The 22873-nt window shown below is 34.3% G+C and overlaps 1 protein-coding gene and 1 long non-coding RNA gene across 3 annotated transcripts in view; one reads left to right on the plus strand and one right to left on the minus strand.

Annotated features, from left to right (window-relative positions):
• GUCY1A2 (guanylate cyclase 1 soluble subunit alpha 2) overlaps positions 1-22873 on the minus strand; it is a 344458-nt gene that overhangs the window by 85106 nt on the left and 236479 nt on the right. For both annotated transcript variants that reach the window (NM_000855.3, NM_001256424.2), the window contains exon 6: positions 17315-17458. In NM_000855.3, coding sequence (NP_000846.1) covers positions 17315-17458 — 144 coding nt within the window. The remainder of the gene's footprint in view (positions 1-17314; positions 17459-22873) is intronic.
• On the plus strand, positions 7043-22025 carry LOC112268081 (uncharacterized). Its single transcript, XR_002957264.2, has 5 exons — positions 7043-7131; positions 9046-9141; positions 16751-17050; positions 19207-19440; positions 21702-22025. It is a non-coding gene; the product is annotated as an uncharacterized LOC112268081 (long non-coding RNA).

Below are 22873 nucleotides of genomic sequence, written 5' to 3' on the forward strand. Positions count from 1 at the left end.
TGCACATGTACCCCTTAATCTAAAATAAAAGTTGAAATTATTGAAAAAAAAAAAAGCAAGTATTTGCAACAGTCATAGCTAGGGGATGGTGAAACAAGATCCCTACAGATTTAAGGCCCAGTTGAGTTCAAAACATATGCATTCTTAATGGGTATTTTATTACCATGATTATGTAATTTTCACCAGTAATGTCCATCAATTCCAGAGCAAGAATTTTCTACTTAGGTAGCTCTGTATGATGGAAGACAAGAATAAAATTAGAAGGGTGATAGGAGCCATGTTGAGATAGGAGATAATGGGATTCTTCTTTTCTAGATAAGAAGGTATTATGGATGGAATTGTGCCCTACCCCCTTAAATTCATATACTGAGTTCCTAATCCTCAGTATCTCAGAATTTAACATTAATTAGAAGTAGGGTAATTGCTGATATAATTAGTCAAATTGAAAATTATTAATATGAGTTCCTACCAGAGTAGGGGGGACCCCCCAATCCAATATGACTAGTATCCTTATAAAAAGGAGAAATGGCCAGGTGTGATGGCTCATGCCTGTAATCCCAGCACTTTGGGAGGCCGAGGTGGGCAGATCACCTGAGGTAAGGAGTTCGAGACCAGCCTGCCCAACGTGGCGAAACCCTGTTTCTACTAAAAATACCAAAAATTAGCCAGTCGTTGGGGCAGGCGTCTGTAATCCCAGCTACTGGGGAGGCTGAGACAGGAGAATTGCTTGAACCTGGGAGGCGAAGCTTGCAGTGAGCAGACATTGCGCCACAGCATTCCAGCCTAGGTGACAAGAGCGAAACTCTGTCTCAAAAAAACGAAAAGGAGAAATCTGGACACAGATACATCCATGCCCACAGGGAGAATGCCATGTAAAGATTGGATTTTATGCTGCCAAGGAACTACCAGAATCTAGTAATAGTAGAGAGACCTGGACAGCTCCTTCCCTAGTGTCTTCAAATAAAACATGTCTTCAAATAAAACGGCCAACACGTTGATCTCGGGATTCTAGCCTCCAGAACAGTGAGACAACAAATTTCTGTTGTTCTAAGCCACTTAGTTTGTTGGTTCTTTGTTATGTCAGGCACAGAAAACTAATATACTCAAAATAGACTGGAAACCTAAGAATGGATAAAGGCTTATACATCACAGTGATGAGTGAGAATGGTAGAATAGAAAGTGGCAGAAGAACAAGTAATGTGACTATGAAAAGACATTTGGAGTTGAGATTATGTAGTTGGAACAATTCTAAGCTATGATGAGTTTGGAGGCATGGCTATATGTGAATTTCTAAAGTGGGCCGAACTTCAAGGAATGATACATAAAACGATCGTTTATGTGAGCATATATTTTTTATAACAGTCATAGTTTTTCACTTTTTAATACATGAATAGTATTTACAACTTGATATTTGGACAAAGTAGGTAAAATAATTTTATTCTAATTTTTTGACATACTTGAGGATGGTAACAAATAGAAGAAATGATGAAAAAATAAATATTCCTGAAGATGTACCACTATTTTTAAAGATCTGGTATTTTCAAAAAATTAATATGTTCTGAGAGATAATACAGAAGAGGTGTGGGGATATAAAGGTACACATTTATTGTTTTTTCCTCCTTTTACAAGCTAACAAATAACTGGCCCATCATTTCCATAGAAAATACTAAAGGTTAAAAGGAGAAAAAAATCCACGTCAACTTTGGCTAAATTCTATATGAATAATGAGAGGCTCTCACAGAAGGAAGACAGGAACTGAGGAAAGAATTAATAGTTTTAAAAGATTAAAAAGGAAACAGTAAAAATAGTAATACTCTGATAATAAAGAAATGACACTCAAGAGGTCAAGATAATTGGACCTTCTGCCACAGATTTGTGCAATTTTCCACCTCTTTCATATAATAACCTCAAAACACACTTTCCAAATTATACTTCTTCTATCATGATGAACAATTGCCAGAAAAAGAAAAACTACAATATTATTTCTCCTTCTTCTGGCCTTATCTTCTTCATTAGCTTCCCTGGTGAATTTCACATGTTCAGATCCTATTGCTAACTAGTTAGATAACTTAAGTATAATCAAATACTTTTTTGATATCTTTTTATCATGTATGAAATGAGAGTTGATCTTCAAATTTCCAACTTTTAAAAGCTTACAAAATGTTAGTTATTCACAACCAAATTTCCTAAGCTACTATATAATTATCCTTTTGTAAATTATCTCTGGTGCATTTCTGGCTAAGCTAAACCACAAGAAAAGAAGGATGGGTGTCTTAGCCCCAGTTCAGTAAAGCAAAAAGGGTGAATTTACAGTCATAGTTGCAACGTTTTTTCAGACACCAGCAGCAAGTCAGAAAACATCTGGAGACCTCAGGCAAATACATTTGGCTCTAGAATCTGGCATAAATTGGCCATCAAAACATTGCCATAGAGATGGATAGAAATATGTTTGCCTGAGATAATTTTTAAATCTAAATATCAATCTACTTGAACACACTAATAACTTTCCCAGTGTAAAACAGGAATTAGTAATTTTGGAGCAAATTTTTGAAGGCATAAACAACCCTTGAAGCACCAAGTTTAAAAGGGAAGCTTTGCCATGATTGTTTGTGGCTGATACATTATGCTTAGAGCTCTGATAAACTGTATATTTTTAAAATATGGTATGACTCTTGCTTCCCTGGACAGGCCTTCTTAACCACAAAGTAAGAGTTTTCACAAACTACAGTTAAAATGAAGAGAAAAATAACACAGAACAATGTTTGGATATAGTGTGCTACAGTAACACAACTAGTGAAGAGATTTTAATATAGCACAGGATGCTGCGCTGCATAGAGCACAGTGTGATCACTAATCATAACCTCATAATAGGTATTCTCACTGGTGTAATGAGGCAGGTCTACTTTACTTCATTATACTTTGGGTAGCAAAATTACTAATTTGTATTTTGAGTGCTGGGGTAAAATATGAGCATGGGATAAGTTTAGTATTTTTCAAAAGGACAAGATTATGAATATGCAATTTAGAGTAAGAGAAAGATGAGAAAACACAATAAAAGAAATGGAGAATACTATAAGTTTATTAAAAACCTGGAAGTCAATGTATTTACTTATTTATATGTGAGGTAAAAGACATGGCAAAAAGTTGCAAATATAAAAGAATACTTACTTGTGCAGCAAAGGATCAGAGAGATAAAAACTATAATCATCCAAAGATATAATAGCTATCACTGCCACAACTAAATAAAGTTCTCTACTTTCTCCTACCAGTTGGTAACATTTAATTCAGTTTATTGAGCATGAATGTCTAGAACCATGATACAGCTTCTGTTAATTCATCAAATAATTCCTTAGGCTAATAAAACAGTTATAGTTCAAGACATTTGCACCCCAACAAAGGAGTACAAAGATTGAATGAAATATAATAATACTGAAGAATTATTATGAAGAAAATTATTTTCTGGACTAAATGCTATTAAGTCAATTTAATTCCTTGATCTATTTTCTGTATACTACATATAAATTGATTCTAATATTTTACATTTATTCTAATATTTTACATTTCCAGTTGTGTCCCTCTGAAAATATTTTAATTGGCATGAATTCTTTCCCATTGAAACTTTACAGTGATGATTTGGGACTCATTAAGCAGTAGTTTGCTCATATTAATTTCTGCCAGTATAGTTTTCTTTTATGGTCATTATTTCTATAAACCCTCATTAGGCTGGCCAAATGTTTCACAGTGTAATTTTGTCAAAGACATTTGATGCTCCCACTAATTTTTAGCCAATAAAAATTTTTATTCTGTGCAGTTGTAGGCATTGCCTGCTGATTATTCCTGTGAACCAAATATATAAGTGAGAATTTGTGCTTACTTTAGAAATTATATTTATGAGTTATTTTAAGTATAGGAAACTTTAAAGAAGGAAAGAAAAATGGTCCGTGATGGCAACTCCCATATAATTTCTATGGATACTAAAAGGCAATACATAAATAATTCATACGTATATTTGGAAAATGTGAACAGATATAAAACTGTAAGATTAAAAATGGAAAAAGCTCTTTCCCCTAAGTTAGCCAGTATCAACAGTTTTGCGTACATTATTCATAACAATGTAATTTTTTTTGGTAAGTCGTTCTTAGGTAATTCATGGAAAATTGATGTCACTTTTAGGAAATTGAGAGAGAAATGGAGACTGAGGGGTCCCGAGAGTGGGGGGCAGTGAGAGATGGGTGAGACCAATTCAAAAAGGAAGGCAAACAGTATAGAAGGCAGAAAACAACATTAAATCTGTTAAAAGCTTGATGGAGGTGGGAGGAACAGAACCTGTGTTTTCTTCCCTCCATAACTGTACCTTTTCATATGTAAGATGCCAAGTACTATTGAAATAACTAAATATATGCTATTACCTATTTGACATAGCTTTCAGATAAACTAACTAATTAAGGCAAACAAGTTGAATGGAATCCTAGAATCAGAAAATCTGGGCGGTCAATTGAATTTTTGACTGAATGGATTTAAGTGACCAGATGTTTGGGTATTGTGTATACAGAATTTTGACTTGAGAGCCAAGAAAAAAAGCAGATTAGTATTTGGCACTCATGCAGTTCAGTCTGCAACTCAATTATGTGGTTTTGCACATGAGAGAAATTCAGTAAAGGCTTGCAGGCTGACTGATCAAACTATTTGACTACATTTTTCTTTTTCAATCAATCAGTGCTTTTCGTTACGTAAATAAAAAATAATCTTAGATAACAATATCCAAAAGGATCAACTGATACCATCTGGAAGATAATATGTCCAAAAAAGCAAATATGCCTTTTGGATTCTCTGATACGGTTTTAAATTTCTGCTTTCCTAGTTTTTGGATTATTATGTTTCTACAAAAAGTTCATTTCTTCTATTTTTTATAAAAAGCTAATATTACAGAAGTGTATATTTCAATATTATTCCCAACTTAATTTTTTCTTCAGATATTTTGAAATTCTATAGAACTATCAATTTTCAACTCATTCTGTTAAATGTCGACATAATTGTCCTCATTATTTCAACATCTCGATGTGAGTTTGCCTTGAGTTAGAATGCCTTCAAGACATTGCACTGCTATTACGTCTTCACACTTCTTTCTTAAGGAACAGGGAATAGCAATAATTTTTTAAGGAAAATTAAAGTTATTAGCTTAGTCATAAGATTAGAAATCATATTAATACATTCCAGTTGTATTGTGAGTGGCAGTATAGGGTAATGGTTACGAGCATGGACTTTGAAGTCAAACAGATTTGAATTCCAATTCCGAATCAATTCTTACTTAGTAATATTATTTACTCTTGACAAAAAGTCCCTTAACCTTTCAGTCTTGGTTTTCCCATTTATAAATAGAGATAACATCTAATCCATGGTCCATGATTGTTGTAATAATTATGTATATACAGTACAGGCATATTTCACAAATATGAAAATATGCCTAAAATATACACATACATGTAAATAATTATACAGGTGTATGTGTATATGCATATATATTAGGAAGGGAGAGGACATGTAAGAGAGAGAGTGCTCACGCACTCTAGCTTGGCATAATGCTGAGCACGTAGTAAGCACTAGGTGAGAAGTAACTCTTGTTATTAAGTACTCAGGTAATAAAATTCTACTCTGGGCATTCTCCAGTTTCCTATACTGAAAAAAAGCAAAGCTTTTTTCTTTTTTCCAAACAGATATATCTGGATTCAAATTTAGTTCTGCAATTGGCTAGCTACATAACCTTGATCAAATTATATAAACTTTCTAAATCTCAAATTCTTTAAATGTAAAATAAGATTAACGAAACTTACTTTGCAGATTTTTTTGGGGGGGGGTTGGGGGGCAGGAATAAATAGTGCATAAAGACATGGCACAAGTCTGACATCTGGAAAGTGTCCAGTATGCATTTTTTCCTCTATAATCTTGTACATATTTTTAACCCCAATGTCTTTTTTTATCTTTTAAGTATATAAAAATTGCATATATGCCCTTCTTAGTTGTTGTGTAGATTAAGTGAGATAATATGTAAATGTCAAGCTAACCCCTACCACATAGTTGGTTTTTAATGCCTTTCAACCTCACTTCCCTAAGAACATATGAAATCTACAAAAACACCAAAATAATGTAGGTCTGAATGTAAATGACATCCTGAATATTTGCTCTACAAAGAATTATATTCCTAAAAGCCTAACCCAAACCTCTCGATGTTAAGGTGGAAAGAGTATTGAGAGAAAACTGAGTCTATTTCTCCTTCCTCACCAAGTTAGTAATTTCTAGTTGTTGGTTCCATAGGCTGTAATTCGTGGGAGGATCAGGGATGTACCTGGTTTGCTTACCCTCACATTTCTAATACCTAACCAATTGTTTAGAAAATCATAAGCATTCAAAAAACATTTGTTGAATAAATGAGTAAAAGTCGCTGCCAGCAAGGCTCCAACCAGATTCATGTAGAATCAGGCTTCATGTGAGTTGAAACAGCAAGCCTCCAAAGTAAGCCTTTTCTCCCCTGGGACACCCCATGCATACTCCGGACCTGTGTTTCTAACAACCTCCTGATTACATGGTCATTTGACCATCAAAATTACTCTGTTTCTTCAACTTCAGGAGGTTCCCCACTAAGAACTATTTGCATATATTTTGGAATTTGTCAAAATTACCATATTTCCCTAAAGAGTCTGAATTAATGAGGTTTTCTAAATTCATTTTTTATGATTGATTGGTTTAACCTCTGAACAAACACATTAAAGGCAAGTGATAAAGCAAAATAATTTCTTAAAATGGAATCTACATGTAAATTTGGTCTTGTAACATTTACACACAAGGTGACAATTTCTGATGCAGTAGGAAGCATTACAAATGTCCAGAAATCAATTCAGCCATTAGGAAAAAGCAAGAGTTGCTAGGAAACCACATTCCAAATAAGGAATATTATAGTGGTGACCCAGACAATTACCATATGCCTGACATGACATCAACAAAAAGCTTAACATACTTTGAAAAGCACTTGTGACACTGAATTGTTAGTACCACATTTGCAACTCAGGTGATTAAAGAGTTACCTTCCAGTGTCTCAAAAATTCAATTGTAGGAACAGAAAAATACAAAACCAAAGTGAGTTAATAATAATGAAAGATTCTTCCTAGGGCTAACCAAGTTTTTTCTGCATATTTCTCTGCATCTTTGGTACACTGTGTGTCATGATATTACCAAGTTGAATGAAGCTTATTCAGTTTTTAAAATAATCTACTTTTTAAGTCCATACCTTCTATTTCTATGTGTTTGTATTGAATGTTTGCATATAAAAAGACTTTAAAGATACATAAAAATGTAAAATATGTCTATAATTGGTTGGTAAATTATAGGTGATTTTAACTATCTTCTGTAATACTAGTTTTCAGAGATCTTTTTTTTGTAATTTTAGAAAACAAATAAAGAGATTAAATAATTTTTAAACTTTTATTTGAAACGAGATATGAGATCTCAAAACAACAGGTCAAAAACGTAAAAGCTAACTAACTAACTAAATCAATAGTGTGATTAGCATGCAGATAGCACATTACTGTCTTATGTGTTGTATCTTGCTATTTTCATATCATTTTTCATATTGTAAGAGTTAGGCTACTCATGTTGGCCTATATGCATATAGGCTTAAAAGAGACTGAAGTGTCAGTAAAAGATTAAAAACCCATTCAAAAACACCTAAGAAAGGGACCATATGCTAAAGATAATGGGCTAACCTACTAAATGGGTTGATGAAATCACATTTACTGTCTCTACCAGGGAAAAAATATTGGCAGATGGAGATTCCTATTCTTTACATAAACGTCAGATAAATAAAAACACGAGCTTCCTAACTGCTTGGAAGTCTCACACTTCTAAAGCACACCACACAAAAATCAAATAAAAATGAGTGACTTTGCTAATATAACTTTTAGCCTCTTCTATGGACATTGTATCAGTAGTCTTAGTGGGACACTGGAGACAAGAGGCAGGAATAAAATACATGAAATAGATTATAACTTATTTAAAGGTAGTTATCCTCATAGTGATGATAATATTTAACTAACAAAATACTCAAACCATGTCTCCACTAAAGAATGTATTTTTCTTCCAAAAATGTGAAAGTCAAGACTGTTGCACAAAATCAAACTAAGCAATTTTGTGCTTTGCATGCACAGTTTCATGTGAATCAGTTTAGCTTTTTTTCCCATCACTTGGTTTTGTTTTTTCTTTCACTAACTTATTAACTATTCTTTCTTGTAGCATAAATATGCAAATATCTTCACAAAAGGACTGCTTGGGAAATCTGTTTGACAAATATCATAATAAAACTTTTCAGTAAGACTAGCATTTTTAGAAATGTATGCCTGATAGACTATTTTATAGTCTGAAAATATGATTAAAATTCTGTGATTATATAAAATTGGAATCTTTCATGATTACAGATAAAAGCTAAAATAAACTAGCAGTGGAATTCTGTCTCATTGACATACACATCACAGACACAATATTGTGTTTTAAATCATTATGCTGATATCTTACAGAGGAATTGTAAGGTATTAAGGATGCTCTGTCTATTGAAGTTCAGCACTATAGCATCATGTCAGAAGAGTAATTCTATAATTAAAACAAATAATGTGCTCAGTAAGTAGATCTGTCTATAAATAAATTTGTGTATTAAAGTTCAGCACTATAGCATCATGCCAGAAGAGTAATTCTATGCTTAAAACAAATGTGCTCAATAAATAAAAATAATTAAATAGAATATGACCTAATCTTTAAATTCAATGACTACCCTATGAAATAATGTAAATATAAAACGTTTAAATATGTAGCTTCTGCATTACAATCCACAACAAACAATAAACAAGGGGAAAATATAGAAAAAAAGCAGAGCATCATGACTAATACATCCCCCACCCAATCTGGCCAGTGATTGCAGTTTACAAAATGATTGATAGAATAACACTCATTTTTTTCACATAACTGAATTTAATCAATGTCAATCTCTCTCTCTCTTTCTAGATAAGGTATTGTTATGCTGTCCAGCACAGGCTGGTGTCTAACTCCTGGATTAAAGCCATCCTCCCTCCTCAGCTTCTCGAGTATCTGGGACTACAGGTATGCCCCCCTACCACCACATGCAGCTAGAATGTCTCTTACTTTCTAATTTAAAAACAAATTATTTTATTTTTGGATGGAATACCTTTAAAATAGAGAACTTACTTCTACTTTTTCAAAGAGGACATCTAACATACATTTAAATTTATTGAAGACTAAAGCCATGAAAAGTCTAACTTTAATGGAATATTCAAGGCAATAGGAAGATTTGACAATATAAATGTTATTTAACATGCTTTTATTTAATGTATACACAGTATATATATTAGAAGCTCTGGTTAACTATTTTTTATGCTTATTTTCTTCATTTACAAACTGGAAATAATAGCAATAATTCCTTCACAGAATTATTGTGAAACTTAGCATATATACATATAAAATAGCAGGTTATATCATTTGAATTACCCTATGCTGGTCAGCTAACAAAGTAACGAAAAATTATTGTACCAAGATATGGCAGAAGATAAACCTGAGAAGTGAAAAGTAAACTTGGTGGTGCTTTTATCCTGTGGGCATCTTCTGGCTCCAGAAAAGGTAATGGAAAGGTTGAGAAGCTGAGCAGCATTTTTGACAGCCAGGGCCAAGAGAACATAAACTGGAGCCTAAGAATTCCTAGGGCAAAGACCTTAGAAAGCCCTCCCCACTTTGAGATGGGAACATGACCACAGGTATAAGGGTAATACCAAAACATAGAGGTGAACCAGAAGTAGACAGGTCCTCACAGAGACCAAAACCCAGCTTTAAATCCCCTGATCGCTAACTGCTAGAGCCCCTAGTCTCTTTCAAGAAGCACACTAAAATTTCCCTGCAAAATCATCCTAAGTCTTAAATTATTTCTATAATATTTTATATACAATCTCCAGCATTCAAACAAAAAAAAGTGTAATTAGTCACACAGGAAACAAGTAACATGACTGAAAATTAAGTGAAAGAACAAATGATGTAATAGACTGCAGGAGTTCTGGAGACTGACTTACCAGGAGAAGCATTTACAATCATTACAGATGATTTATTCAAGAAAATAAATAAAAACGGTATGAAAAATTTTGTCAGACAAATGGAACTGCAAAACACTATAAACTGGTATAATCAGCATTTAAGCATCAAGTGGATGAGTTTAATCAATAATTTTTACAACCAACTGAGGGAAGTATTGGCAAGTTGGAAAATAGATCTAAGGAGAGTATGTAGAATGAGGCATTGATTATTAAAAGGAAGCAAACTACAGAAGAGACTCATAACTTTGCTGGTACACTCACAAATATTAATACTTTAAATAAATACTTTTTAAAAACAAACACATTTATAGTTACAAATAAATTTACTATTCAAAATGATAAATCTATCGGAAAATATATCTATCTAGTCCTAAGTTTCACCAGTAACATTATACGGTATTTTTCCATATTACTGTTACAATAGAACACTGACTTATGAAAACTGCCACTATATGCATTATCTAGGAGATTAAAAGCAAATTTAAATACTCCTAATTGATAAATGTGAGAAATGAGGATAACTGGGATCAGTATCTTAACAGTAATTTTATATAATGCCTATGTAGTTTTTTCTGACCCCTTAGGTTTTTCTCCTTATATGTTTTTAATCTCAATGTGATTAAAAAGTACTAACTTGAGTTTTATAAATAAATAATTATCAAAGAATCTTAGAAAATTAATTAGGTTACCAAATACAGTCGACCCTGTGTATCCACAGGTTTCACATCTGCATGTTCAACCAACCGTGGATTGAAAATATGGCATTAAAAAATAAAAAAAATATAACAAACAAAAATAACAATTCAACAATTAAAAACTACAAACAAAATGATATAGTATTACAATGATTTATATAGCATTTACTTTTTGTTAGGTATTATAAGTAATATAAGAGACTTGCAGCCCTTATATTAAGTAGTGTTGTACATGCATACAACCTATGGACATCCTACCACATTCTTTAAATCTTTAAATCCCCTGTAGATTACTTATAATATGTAACGTGTTGTAAATAATGAGTAAATAGTTGTTAGGCTGTATTATTTAGAGAATGACAAGAAAAAAATGTCTATACATGTTCAATACTGAAGCAACTATCATTGGCCTACCTACATTTTTGACCCACAGTTGGCTGAATCGGAGGATGCAGAACTCATGGATATGGAGTGCCAACTGTAATTAGTTTTTCTTTTTTCTAAATACAGTCTCAGGCTGAAATCTGATAGGGTTAATTAAATATTGCAATATTTCCAAAACCCAAATCCCTCCAAATATTAAAATAACAACATCAGGTTTCCTCTGGAAATAGCAAAAACTATTTAAAAATTAAAAATTATTAGAGAATAATTATTGCATAATCTCAAAAAATCCTGTAAGCTCATTAAAAGTTGAAGCTAAAAATTAAAAATTAATTAGAGAACAATTATTGCATAATCTCAAAAAATCCTGTAAGCTCATTAAAAGTTGAAGCTTAAGGAGCTGTAATTTAATGTGTTACAATACATGTAAATTGCACATTAATATTCCTGCTTTTGCACCAGGCAGTAATACTAATGTGTTTAGCAATCTCAATTGCAAATCAGGGAATGCTGTGAGTCTTTTTCTCATAGCATTTCCCTGATTTGCAATTGAGATTGCTAAACACATTAGTATTACAACATGATTACACATTGTTTAACTCTAGTTCACAATGTTTCCTGCATACTTGCCTCATTATATAAAATGCACTGTCTTTGAACTAATGAAGAAAATTTGAATTTGTATGCCTATGAGATAAAATTTAATGAAAATAGTTTTTAAACTAAGTACAGAATTAAAAGACATTTGGACATACTCAATATTCTTCAAAAGCCTTAAATCGTGAAAATGCTATTTGTCTTTCTCATATACCCTAGGTACATTCTCTAGTTAATCCTTGACCCAACTTCCCTTTCCCTATCAACAGTGTTTTTTAAAGAAAGAATAAGTCATAGGCAGTAATAAATATTTGGTTATTTTAATCAAAGTGTGGTTAAACTATTAGTGTAAGTTAGCCAGTCAGCACTAAAAACTATTCAAAATACCTTTGGGTTCACAAGATTAGAGAACTAAAGTAATACATTTCTCTGGTGAATTCACAATATAGCTAGTGCAAACAAGGAAGAGAGAATACAAATATAATTTTACTTTTCAATTGTCTACTGTTTAAAATTTAAAAATTCAGTCCTGGCATGGTGGCTCATGCCTGTAATCCCAACATTTTGGGAGGCTGAGGCAGGAGGATTGCTTGAGGCCAGGAGTTCACGACCAGCTTGGGCAACATAGAGAGACCCCCATCTCTACTAAAAAGTTTTTTTTAAATAGTCAGGTGTGGTTCCACATGTTTGTGGTCCCAGCTACTCCAGAGACTGAGTTGGGAGGATCCCCTGAGCACAGGAGGTTGAGGCTGTAGTAAGCTGTGATGGTGACACTGCACTCCAGCCTGGACAACAGAGCAAGACCCTGTGTCTTGAGGAAAAAAAACAAGAAAATCAGATTCTCCCTTGGGAAGAATAAAAAGGAAACAGTCATAATGCTGTTCTTCCATATTTTCAGCCAGCAGAAGAAATATCATATTGATCCAGGGTGAAAAAGTTCTACTCACTTTTTATAAAAGCAGTTCTAATTAAAGTCAACATGAACTGATTTTTCAGAATGTATTGTATAGATAGACCATATTTATGAATGCTTTATAGATATAGTCCAGAAGTAGCCTCTGAGTTTCATTAGAGTACTTATTGAACAATAATTTACTTGAGTATTTATAGGCTGAAAAAACAAAATGCTACATTCTCTGGTTATTTTCAAAATTAAAAAAAAATAAATGCAGGCAGTTTTACAATTAGTGAGTCAAGGGCATTACCAATCATTTCCAAGCAATTGTATATGACAATTTTGGCTCCTATTTCCCATCATTACAGGATGCCTCAAAGGTTCATAAATCCATATACAAATTATCAATTTACTTTTCAAAGTTTGGATTCAGTTTTAGTCAATTATTGCTATTATAATAACTTGTAATTTAAATCACCTAAAAACTTACATAATTTGAGGTAAACAGTAAGCTATCACATATCAACTCTACTACAACACCCCAGCAGTTTCATAATAAAAGATTCTCTCAATAAGTTTGGAAATGTTCCCACAGCACCAAGCTAGAAGGCAATTTAAAATCAAATTAATATGATGAAAAATAATCCCAAATCATGCAAATACTATAAATTAGTAAGGAAGCTAAAATTACTAAGGTGGTTTATTATTTTGAATTCTCTTTCTGCATTCTTATTAAATCTTTATGGATATTTCCTCTTCTGATTTAATAAGACTATCTGATTCATAAGAAAGAGCTAATATTAAATCCCACAAATGAAAATATTGATGAACACACTGTAAAACACAATTCCCTGGTTTTGTTCTCGGGTAATTTAACTGTGCTATGACAATGCTAAATTCAATACAAACATACTCTCCATAAAAGAAAATCCAACATCAAAAACAATCCCAAATGAGAAGCCTGCCCAGCTGGTAGGCTTGAAAATTTAAGAACTGATTAGTTCAATCTGGAATGTCTATATTTGCAGTGTGCAGCAAATGTGAGACAGTATTCCTTTTGTTTGTTTTCCTGGCATGGTAGAAGTACCATTCAATAATTATTCCCTGAGGGAACTTAAACTAGATTTTATTTTTAATGCTCCATATTTTCCCATTTTCATCACTGGTAGGAGTGGTTAGAAAACTCTCTTTCCACTTATAAATGGTTAAATATAAACATATATGTGCATATTAAAGAAGAGTAATAAAATAAAAAATTTTATACTATGTTTATCTTCCCTATTGTATCCTCTTACTTCCCATATCTTTCCCTCAGAGATAAGCACCAGCTTGAATTTTGTGTTAATCATTCCTTTTATTTTTTACACTTTTTGCCATCAATGCAAGTATTTCTAAATAGAATTGTTTCCATTTTTCCAGTTTTAAACTTTAGTTAAGTGGAATAATACTACAGCATTCTTTAATGACTTGATTCTTTTGTTCAAGATTATGTTTTTGACATTCATCCATGTTGATGTCAGTAGCTGAGGTCTTTCATATTCCCAACTATATGGTATACCAAGGTATAAATATAACACAGTTTATCTATCCTACTGTTGATGGATATTTGAATTAGCTAGAGTTTGAGACTGTTACAAAAACTATTCTTGTGTGTGACTTTTGCTACACGTGCACAAGTACTTCCCTTGTACATGTGTAAACGTCTAGGAGAGGAAATGCTGGGTTGTAGGACATGCAAAAGTTAAACTTTACCAGGTGATGCCAAGTAAATTGTACCATTTATACTTCCACTAGCTATGGGTGAGATTTCCTGCTGCTACAGATCCTCACCAACAGTGGCACTGTCAGACTTTCAAAGTTGTGTCAAACTAGTAGGGAGAAATGCTTATGATAGTGTTGTAAATTTCTATTAATTTGATTACTGACAAGGTTAACTAGATACTTATTGATTACATGTGTCACAAAAATATTCTCCTAATTTGTAGTTGTATTTTAATTTTTTAGTTCTTCTTAACAGGAAGGTTTTAATTTTAATGTTCTAAACTTTTATTTTATGATTTGCAAATTTTTGACCTGATAAGTTCACAAAAAATCCTTCCCTACTTGTCAAAATTTTCTAATGACAAATTTATAGTTTTATAATATGAATTTTTACATTTACCTCCCACACCAAAAATTGATTTATATAAAGATTCATAAAGTACAATACCAATTTCAATTAGTTTTCTTCATGAATAGCCAAGAGTCCCCCAAGCATTTATTGAATGCCTTGTCCTTTTCACACCAATCAATGTCACTTTTATAATTTTTTTTTTTTGAGATGGAGTCTCGCTCTGTCACCCAGGCTGGAGTGCAGTGGCGCATCTCGGTTCACGGCAACCTCTGCCTCCCGGGTTCACGCCATTCTCTGCCTCAGCCTCCTGAGTAGCTGGGATTACAGACGCCCGCCACCACACCTGGCTAATTTTTTGTATTTTTAGTACAGACAGGGTTTCACCATCTTGGCCAAACTGGTCTTGAACTCCTGACCTTGTGATCCACCCTCTCAGCCTCCCTAAGTGCTGGGATTACAGACGTAAGCCACCGTGCCCAGGCTGTCACTTTTATAATTTATCAATTGCTCTTTTTCTCTGATGCCCTGCAGTCTCGTTAAGATGGGTTTAGTTTTGGATTCCTATGGTTTAACTTTTGCAGAATTCTTTGGAATTACTGTGTCTGGGTGCTGATTACTGTGTCTGGGTACTGATTGACATCTTTTAATAGTTCCTGAAAATAATTCTCTTTTTTGTATTCACTCTGTTACCTTCATTTGGAACCTCAATTGAATATATATTACATCTTTCCACTCTCTCCGCCCTGTCTCCCACATATTTTATATTTTACATTCTCTTATTCATATTCCCCATTTTTAAATATCTGAACTTAGTTATTGATAATTTCTTCAGTTCTTTTAGTGAACAAGCTCTTGCTTCATCTATGTCTAATCTGCTTTTAAACTTGTCCACTTTGTTCTCTCTTCTTTTCTTAAGCATCGTGTTGATTGCTTAGAAGTTCTCTGATTCTTTCCCAAGTCTTGTCCCTTTCTCACAGTTTTCAGCTCTTTTTATTTCTTATAGTTACGTTAAAAATTGTCATTTTAATTCTGTGTCTGATAAGTTTGATATCTGAAAACATCCCAGGTATGTTTTTTCACATCTATAATTTCCCCCGGTTCTTCCCCATAGTACTTTGTTTTCATGTGTGTGTGGCTTTTTTCTTTTTTATTACTCGTTTTAATAACCTTTATCTTCCAGGTGGGTTAAATGTAAAAACCCATACTATGAAACTGCAAATTTATCATTAGGAAATTCTGACTTAAGTCAGGAAGAATTTTTTGTGAACTGGTCAGGTCAAAAATTTACAAATTATAAAAGAAAATATGTATCATTTAAAACATTAAAATTAAACCTTCTGGTTTATCAAGAACAACTAAAAGATAAAAATACAACCACAAACTAGGACCTTATTTTTACAACACATGGAATCTGTGGAAATAATTTGAGGATAGGATTGAAGTTGGCATCCTCCAGGGGGGAATAGTATTTCCCAGTTTCCTTCTATCATTGCTAATAACAGGGCTCTTAAGTTAAATTCACCAATTACGTTTTTTTTTTTCAATCTACACACGTAGTGTAATTGTCATGTTTTTCCTGTTCCTGTGAGCTCAGAGAAGTGCCTAATAGTTTTTTAAAAATATTTTTTAATATATTTAACCCAATATTTTCATAATTTTAATCAGATGGATTGTTCAGTGTCCCCAATCTGCTATAATGCCAGAACTAGAACGGTACTCATATTTTTAGCCATTTCCTGTGCCCGCCCCCCCGCCCCCGTGTTTTCTTAACTCTTAGCTGGTAAGCTGTTATAAAAGGGTGGACTTGAATACAAGTTTACTTCCCCAAATATAAGATTTCTGATTTCAAAGTAATGACACTTCTGGGATCCATCACTGGGCTCAAGCAGAAATATGGTAGATGACCTCATTCATTCTTCATTCCCAGAGGTAGACCTCAGATTGCAGAAGACCATCAGACCCAAGAGTACAACACACCAGGATCTGGACTTTCCACTGTTTTTAAAGTTTTCACAGGCTGCAATCTTCAAACTCTGCCACAAGAAAAACTCCAGAAGTAACTCTGAGGTCTGATGTTTCACAAGGAATACCTGTATACTATCTACAGGAAGTTGCGCAGGTCCTCCATTTTCTTGCTTTTTTTGTGTTTTACTTCTTGGATTACCTCTAAAACTCCGAATCTCATCATCATCATTCTTGCTTGGATTTCGTGACCTGGTCACTGACAGTAAGTTCTTCCCTTGGGTCTAATCTTTTAGCTCTTTCTTTCCTCCACAGTAATTTGCCTTCCACAAACCATTTCCTATCTTGGACCTATTCCATTTGTTCTTTTCCTGGATTTATGAGTTATCTCTAGTCACTCCTTGTCCTCCTTAAGCACCCAACTTGTCTAGATCTATAAATTACAAAAAGTAGAACTTGGAAGGGAATTATTTGCCTCCTCCAGTTAATGGTGCACTTACTACTCAAACTAGATTGTTGGGAGGGTTACCTGAATCGGTCTTCCATCAGGTGTCAGCACCTCTTCTGAAAGTTCCATCATCTTCAAGGCCATCAGAGCAATGGGTTTAGCATGGCAGAGGCTTTTTCTGTGGAGCCCTGCTGCAACACAGTAGGCATCACCTATTGTTTCCACCTGCAGCAATCAGACAAATCAAATGCAAACGTATGATAATGAGCCCAAAGAGAAATGATTAGTTATCTGCAATCACAAATGTTGCTGAAAAACATGTCGGCAAAACATCAATAAATTAAGCAATTAGACTACTGTTTATAATCACAGCAGAGTTTGCAAACAGCCACAGTCAAATACTGACATCTCACTCCAGGGTTGTTCATTAACATTATCACTAGAGATGATCATTGAAATTAGGAACAACTATAATATAAAATAATTATCCCCCACGAAAACAGGACTGTCAGTATTTTGCCTAGATAATTTCCAAATAATCGCCTTTTCCAGAGCCATCCCTTCATCTCCTTCCAACTTTCAAGTATTCCTTTGGAAAGCATTTTTTTCCCAGTTTTTCCACCTGAAGAAAATTGTTCCACACTTTTAGATATATCTGTAATTTTTCGTCAGGTCTGTTCTTTCTTACTCTTAAAAATTGTAACGCCTAATGTTTCTTAAATATTCATACCCCATACCATTGCGTCAACCACTTTATGTACATTGTCTCATTTTATCTTCACAAATATCCTACATGAAAGAAACAAGTATTGGGCCAGGTGCAGTGGCTCACTCCTGTAGCCCCAGCACTTTGGGAGGTTGAGGCAGCGGATCACGAGGTCAGCATATCGAGACCATCCTCCAACATGGTAAAACCCCATCTCTACTGAAAATACAAAAATTAACTGGGCACGGTGGTGCGTGCCTGTGGTCCCAGCTAGTAGGGAGGCTGAGGCAGGAGAATCGCTTGAACCCAGTAGGCGGAGGTTGCAGTGAGCCGAGATTGCACCACTGCGCTCCAGCCTGGTGACAGAGTGAGACTTGGTCTCAAAAAAAAAAAAAAAAAAAAGTGGCACATATACACCATGGAATACTATGCAGCCATGAAAAAGGATGAGTTCATGTCTTTTGCAGGGACATGGTTGAAGCTGGAAGCCATTGTTCTCAGCAAACTAACACAGGAACGGAAAACCAAACACTGCATGTTCTCACTCATAAGTAGGAGTTGAACAATGAGAACATGTGGACACAGGGACAGGGACATCACATGCTGGGGCCTGTCGGGGGGTGGGGGGCTAGGGGTGGGATAGCATTAGGAGAATATCTAATGTAGATGACAGGTTGATGGGTGCAGCAAACCACCATGGTACGTGTATACCTATGTAACAAAACCTGCATGTTCTGCACATGTACCCCAGAACCTAAAGTATAATTTTTAAAAAAAGGAAGAAACAAGTATTAGTGACATTTGAAAGATGAAAAATTGAGGTGCAGAGGCCCATCCATAACCATATAATTGAGAGTTAACAGCTACCGTAGGGGTCTTTCCAGACCCTCTTCTAATTCTATTGTCACATCCATTCTGAATGTCCATTGCTGTTAATAAATATTTTAAATATTTACCCCAGGTTAAAACTCCCAAATTTCCAAAGCATAGAACATGGAATAAAAGTTCTATTACTTTAGAGAAAAGCTCTCTAATTATCCACAATAGAGATGGTGGTATTAATGGCAAAAACTGCAATTACTTTTGCACCAACCTAATAAAATCCTCAATAGTTTTAATATTATTAATTAGGCTGAAGTGATGAAAAATTGTACTAAATGCACAATTCCAGTGTCACTTTTTCTGTGATGTGCTCCATGTTCCTTCCTTTAGTTTTTATCAAATAATTTCTCAAAGAACTAATCCTTTCTTTATTCTGTTTCCACAGCACTTCCACATCTTTCTGCTTTAACGTTCAGCACAAGCTATAATCAATATGTATCTATATAAAGTCAATACATATCCCTGGCTACGATGTGAGCTTTTAAGAAATGGGACTATGTTCAGGAGATCAAGACCATCCTGGCTAACACGGTGAAACCCCATCTCTACTAAAAGTACAAAAAGAATTAGCCGGGCATGATGGCGGGCACCTGTAGTCCCAGCTACTCGGGAGACTGAGGTAGGAGAATGGTGTGAACCTGGGAGGCGGAGCTTGCAGTGAGCGGAGATCACGCCACTGCACTCCAGCCTGGGCAACACAGCGAGACTCCATCATCTCAAAAAAAAAAGAAATGGGACTATGTTTTTTTCATCTCTGTATTCACAGAGCTTAGCATAATGTCTATAATATAGCTATTTATTAAATATCTCATATTTATTGAATATTTGCTAAATGAATAAGTCAATCAACCATGCTAACCATAATCACAATAAGTAATTTTCACTGTTTGCTTATTTTCACCATTCATTTTATGAGCGCCATCTAGATCTGTGTGCTATGTAGATCTGTATAGGAAAAATATGCGTCAGTGATGGAGATGCTTCCAGCATAAATATACCAAGAATTATTATAAAATATTCTGTTATTTTTAATATCAAAAATTAAATTTCCATGTAAAAGCATTCCAACACTACAATATTAAAAAGATATACTGCATGAAATTATATGAGCACTAATTTAGGGAATATTATGAGAACACTTAAGAAGCTCATGAGACCAACAGTGCAAAACTTATCACTTGATCATCAGGAAATATGCATTAAAACTGATTCAAATACCCCCAGATCTATCATTATATTCAAAAATTTCACTTTAAGACCTGTTTTCTGATGCCAGAAAAATGAAAATAAAATTATACTATAAGAATAGAAAGACAATGCAATATGAGTTGGCAAAAGTTTTATTCCAAAGACTAAAATATACTTCCTGGAAATAATTCTCACTGAGGAAGACACCCATCAAAGAATAAACATCTAAAATGTGCCTATTTACCATTTTACCCCTAATAAGACAATGTTCTTTGCTAATCTTCACATTATCCCACCCGTTCATATTTGTATACACTTTGAAAATCTATCTATGATGCTATTAGCTGTGTACTTCAAAACTTATTTCTGGTAGTCAGATATCAGAACATATAGTCAGTAAATTGCCTGCACAAATCAAAATGCTTTGCAGTAGCTCTGAACATCCAAGTTCCTAGAGCACAATCACTTCCTGAAATGTCTATCACCATCATCATCCTCATCAGCATCTCAATTATCTTTTCAGAAAAAAAAATGCATTGAATTCCATTAAATATGTATGACTAGAATTTGCACAAGAATACATGGAGATTAGTTAGTTATATGTTGCATTTTCTCCTTAGGAGTATGTACTCTAATTGCATAGAAAAGTTAGACCAATATGTTACCAACTGATACATAAATGAATGAAGTAGAAAATAAATGTGGGCACAATGTAAATATGACAAATTCATATTACAATCCGTACATGATTGTATAAAACTTTAAGACTAGGCGTGGTGGCTGACACCTGGAATCCCAACATTTTGGGAGACCAAGGCAGGAGGACTGCTTGAGTCCAGGAGTTCAAGACCAGCCTGGGCAACAGTGAGACCTCAATCTTTACAAAAATAAAAATTATCCAGGTAAGGTGGACCTTACCTATAGTCCCAGCTACTTGGAATTGCTAGAGCCCAGGAGATCAAGGCTGCAGTGGGCTATGATTTCACCACTGCACTCCAGACTGGGTGACAAAGCGAGAACGAGACCTTTCTCTCTTTCTCTCCATAGGTGTGTAAACTAAATATATATATTTAGTTTCCAAATATTAGAAACAATAGGACCAAAGAGGTAGGGAAGACACAGACATCAAAAAAACAGTGACACATATTAGGAAATGAAATTCTCACAATTATTCATAAATATCCAACATACAGAAACCTAAAAAATGTTTTCATAGGCTGGGTTAGATTATGATACAGTAACAATTTAACCTCCAAATCTTAATGCACTAAATTAGCAACAGTGTATTTCTCATTCATTCTACATATCCATTTGGATTAAGGGATTGGGGTGGAGGGGAGAAACTGTGCCACATCTCTTCACTCCAGGAACAATGCTAACAGAACCTCCACGTCGGGAACTAGTCGCCACAGCAAAGGAAAAGAGGTTCTGACCCAATTGTACAGGAGCTCTTAAAGCTTCCTCCCAGATGTGACATATATATCTTCTTTTCATGATTCATTGACCAGAGCAAGTTACATGGCTATGCTTAATGTATAGAGAATGGGAAATGCCAAACTACCTTGTGTACTGCATGAATGAATAAATAATCACACATTCTCTAATATCAAAATGTCTGGAAAGTTTAAGTAATTGGCATATACATTAAGTAAAGTGTATGTAATATATCTTTGTGATTTTTTTTCTTTCCAGATATATTCGGCACCTTAAGAATATTGGCAGAAACACAACAGTCTTAATGCAGCTTTCCAGGAATGCTCCATTTTTCTCTCTTCTCTCTTCCTCTAAGGCAGCTCTATACAAGTTTAGCAAAATTAAATATATGTGGAAGTGTTAGTGGATTCCTTCAAAGTAATTAGTGGGTTTTGCTTCATGAGGAGCAGGAAAAGTGAAAGTGTCATGTATCAATTCCATTGCTCCTGAGTTTATTTCCTTGAGCTAAACCAAAATGAAACAAGTGGACATGGTAAACAGACTACAAAAAAAAAAAAAAAAAAAAAGAAAAACTGTCTAAAAGTTGACTTTGTTCTGAATTCCTTTATAATTGCCTCAGTGTTTTTATATAGTTTAAATACAACAGACACAGTTTAAAATAGTGCATTTCATTTATTTTCACCATCTCCCACCTGTTCGTGAATGGCACTGGGTAAGAATAAAGATGGCTAAACTAAGCATGGAGATGGGGAAAAGATAATGCTTATGCAAATGTCTGAAAAAACTTACATTATTTTCTGAACATAGAAGAGGAGGCTTAAGTACTAAAAATACATACAACTGCTCCCTTACATATTACTATAGCTGCTTTTATAAAACTTTGAAGAATTTGCCTATCTCAGTTTATCTTTTCTCAAAACTTCAGAATCAAAATCTTTACATTATTCCAGAAATAAAGGTGGTGTAAATAAATATATTAGAGCTATGCATTCACCTTGTTTTTTTGTTTTTTTAAGACAGGGTCTCACTCTGCCTACTTAGACTGGAGTACGGTGGCATGATGTGGGCTCTCTGCAACCCCTCCATCCCGGGTTCAAGCAATCCTCCCACCTCAGCCTCCCTTGTAGCTGGGACTACAGGCGCATGTCACCATGCCTGCCTTTTTTTTTTTTTTAATTTTTGTAGAGACAGGGTTTCACCATGTTGCCCAGGCTAGTCTCGAACTCCTGGGCTCAAGAGATTTGTGCACCTCAGCCTCCCAAAGTGCTGGGATTACAGGCATAAGCCACCACGCCCATCCCATTTACCTTGTTTGTTTATTTTAGTTTTAGATCATTTAAAAGAATTTCTTTTAGCTCCTAATTAAATTTCATTCCCATAACATTTTTCTCCTTGCCCTCTAGGCTAATACTTAAGAAATATCTGGGAAC

The sequence above is a fragment of the Homo sapiens genome, chromosome 11, assembly GCF_000001405.40.
Source record: "Homo sapiens chromosome 11, GRCh38.p14 Primary Assembly".
In the NCBI taxonomy this organism is placed as follows: Eukaryota; Metazoa; Chordata; class Mammalia; order Primates; family Hominidae; genus Homo; species Homo sapiens.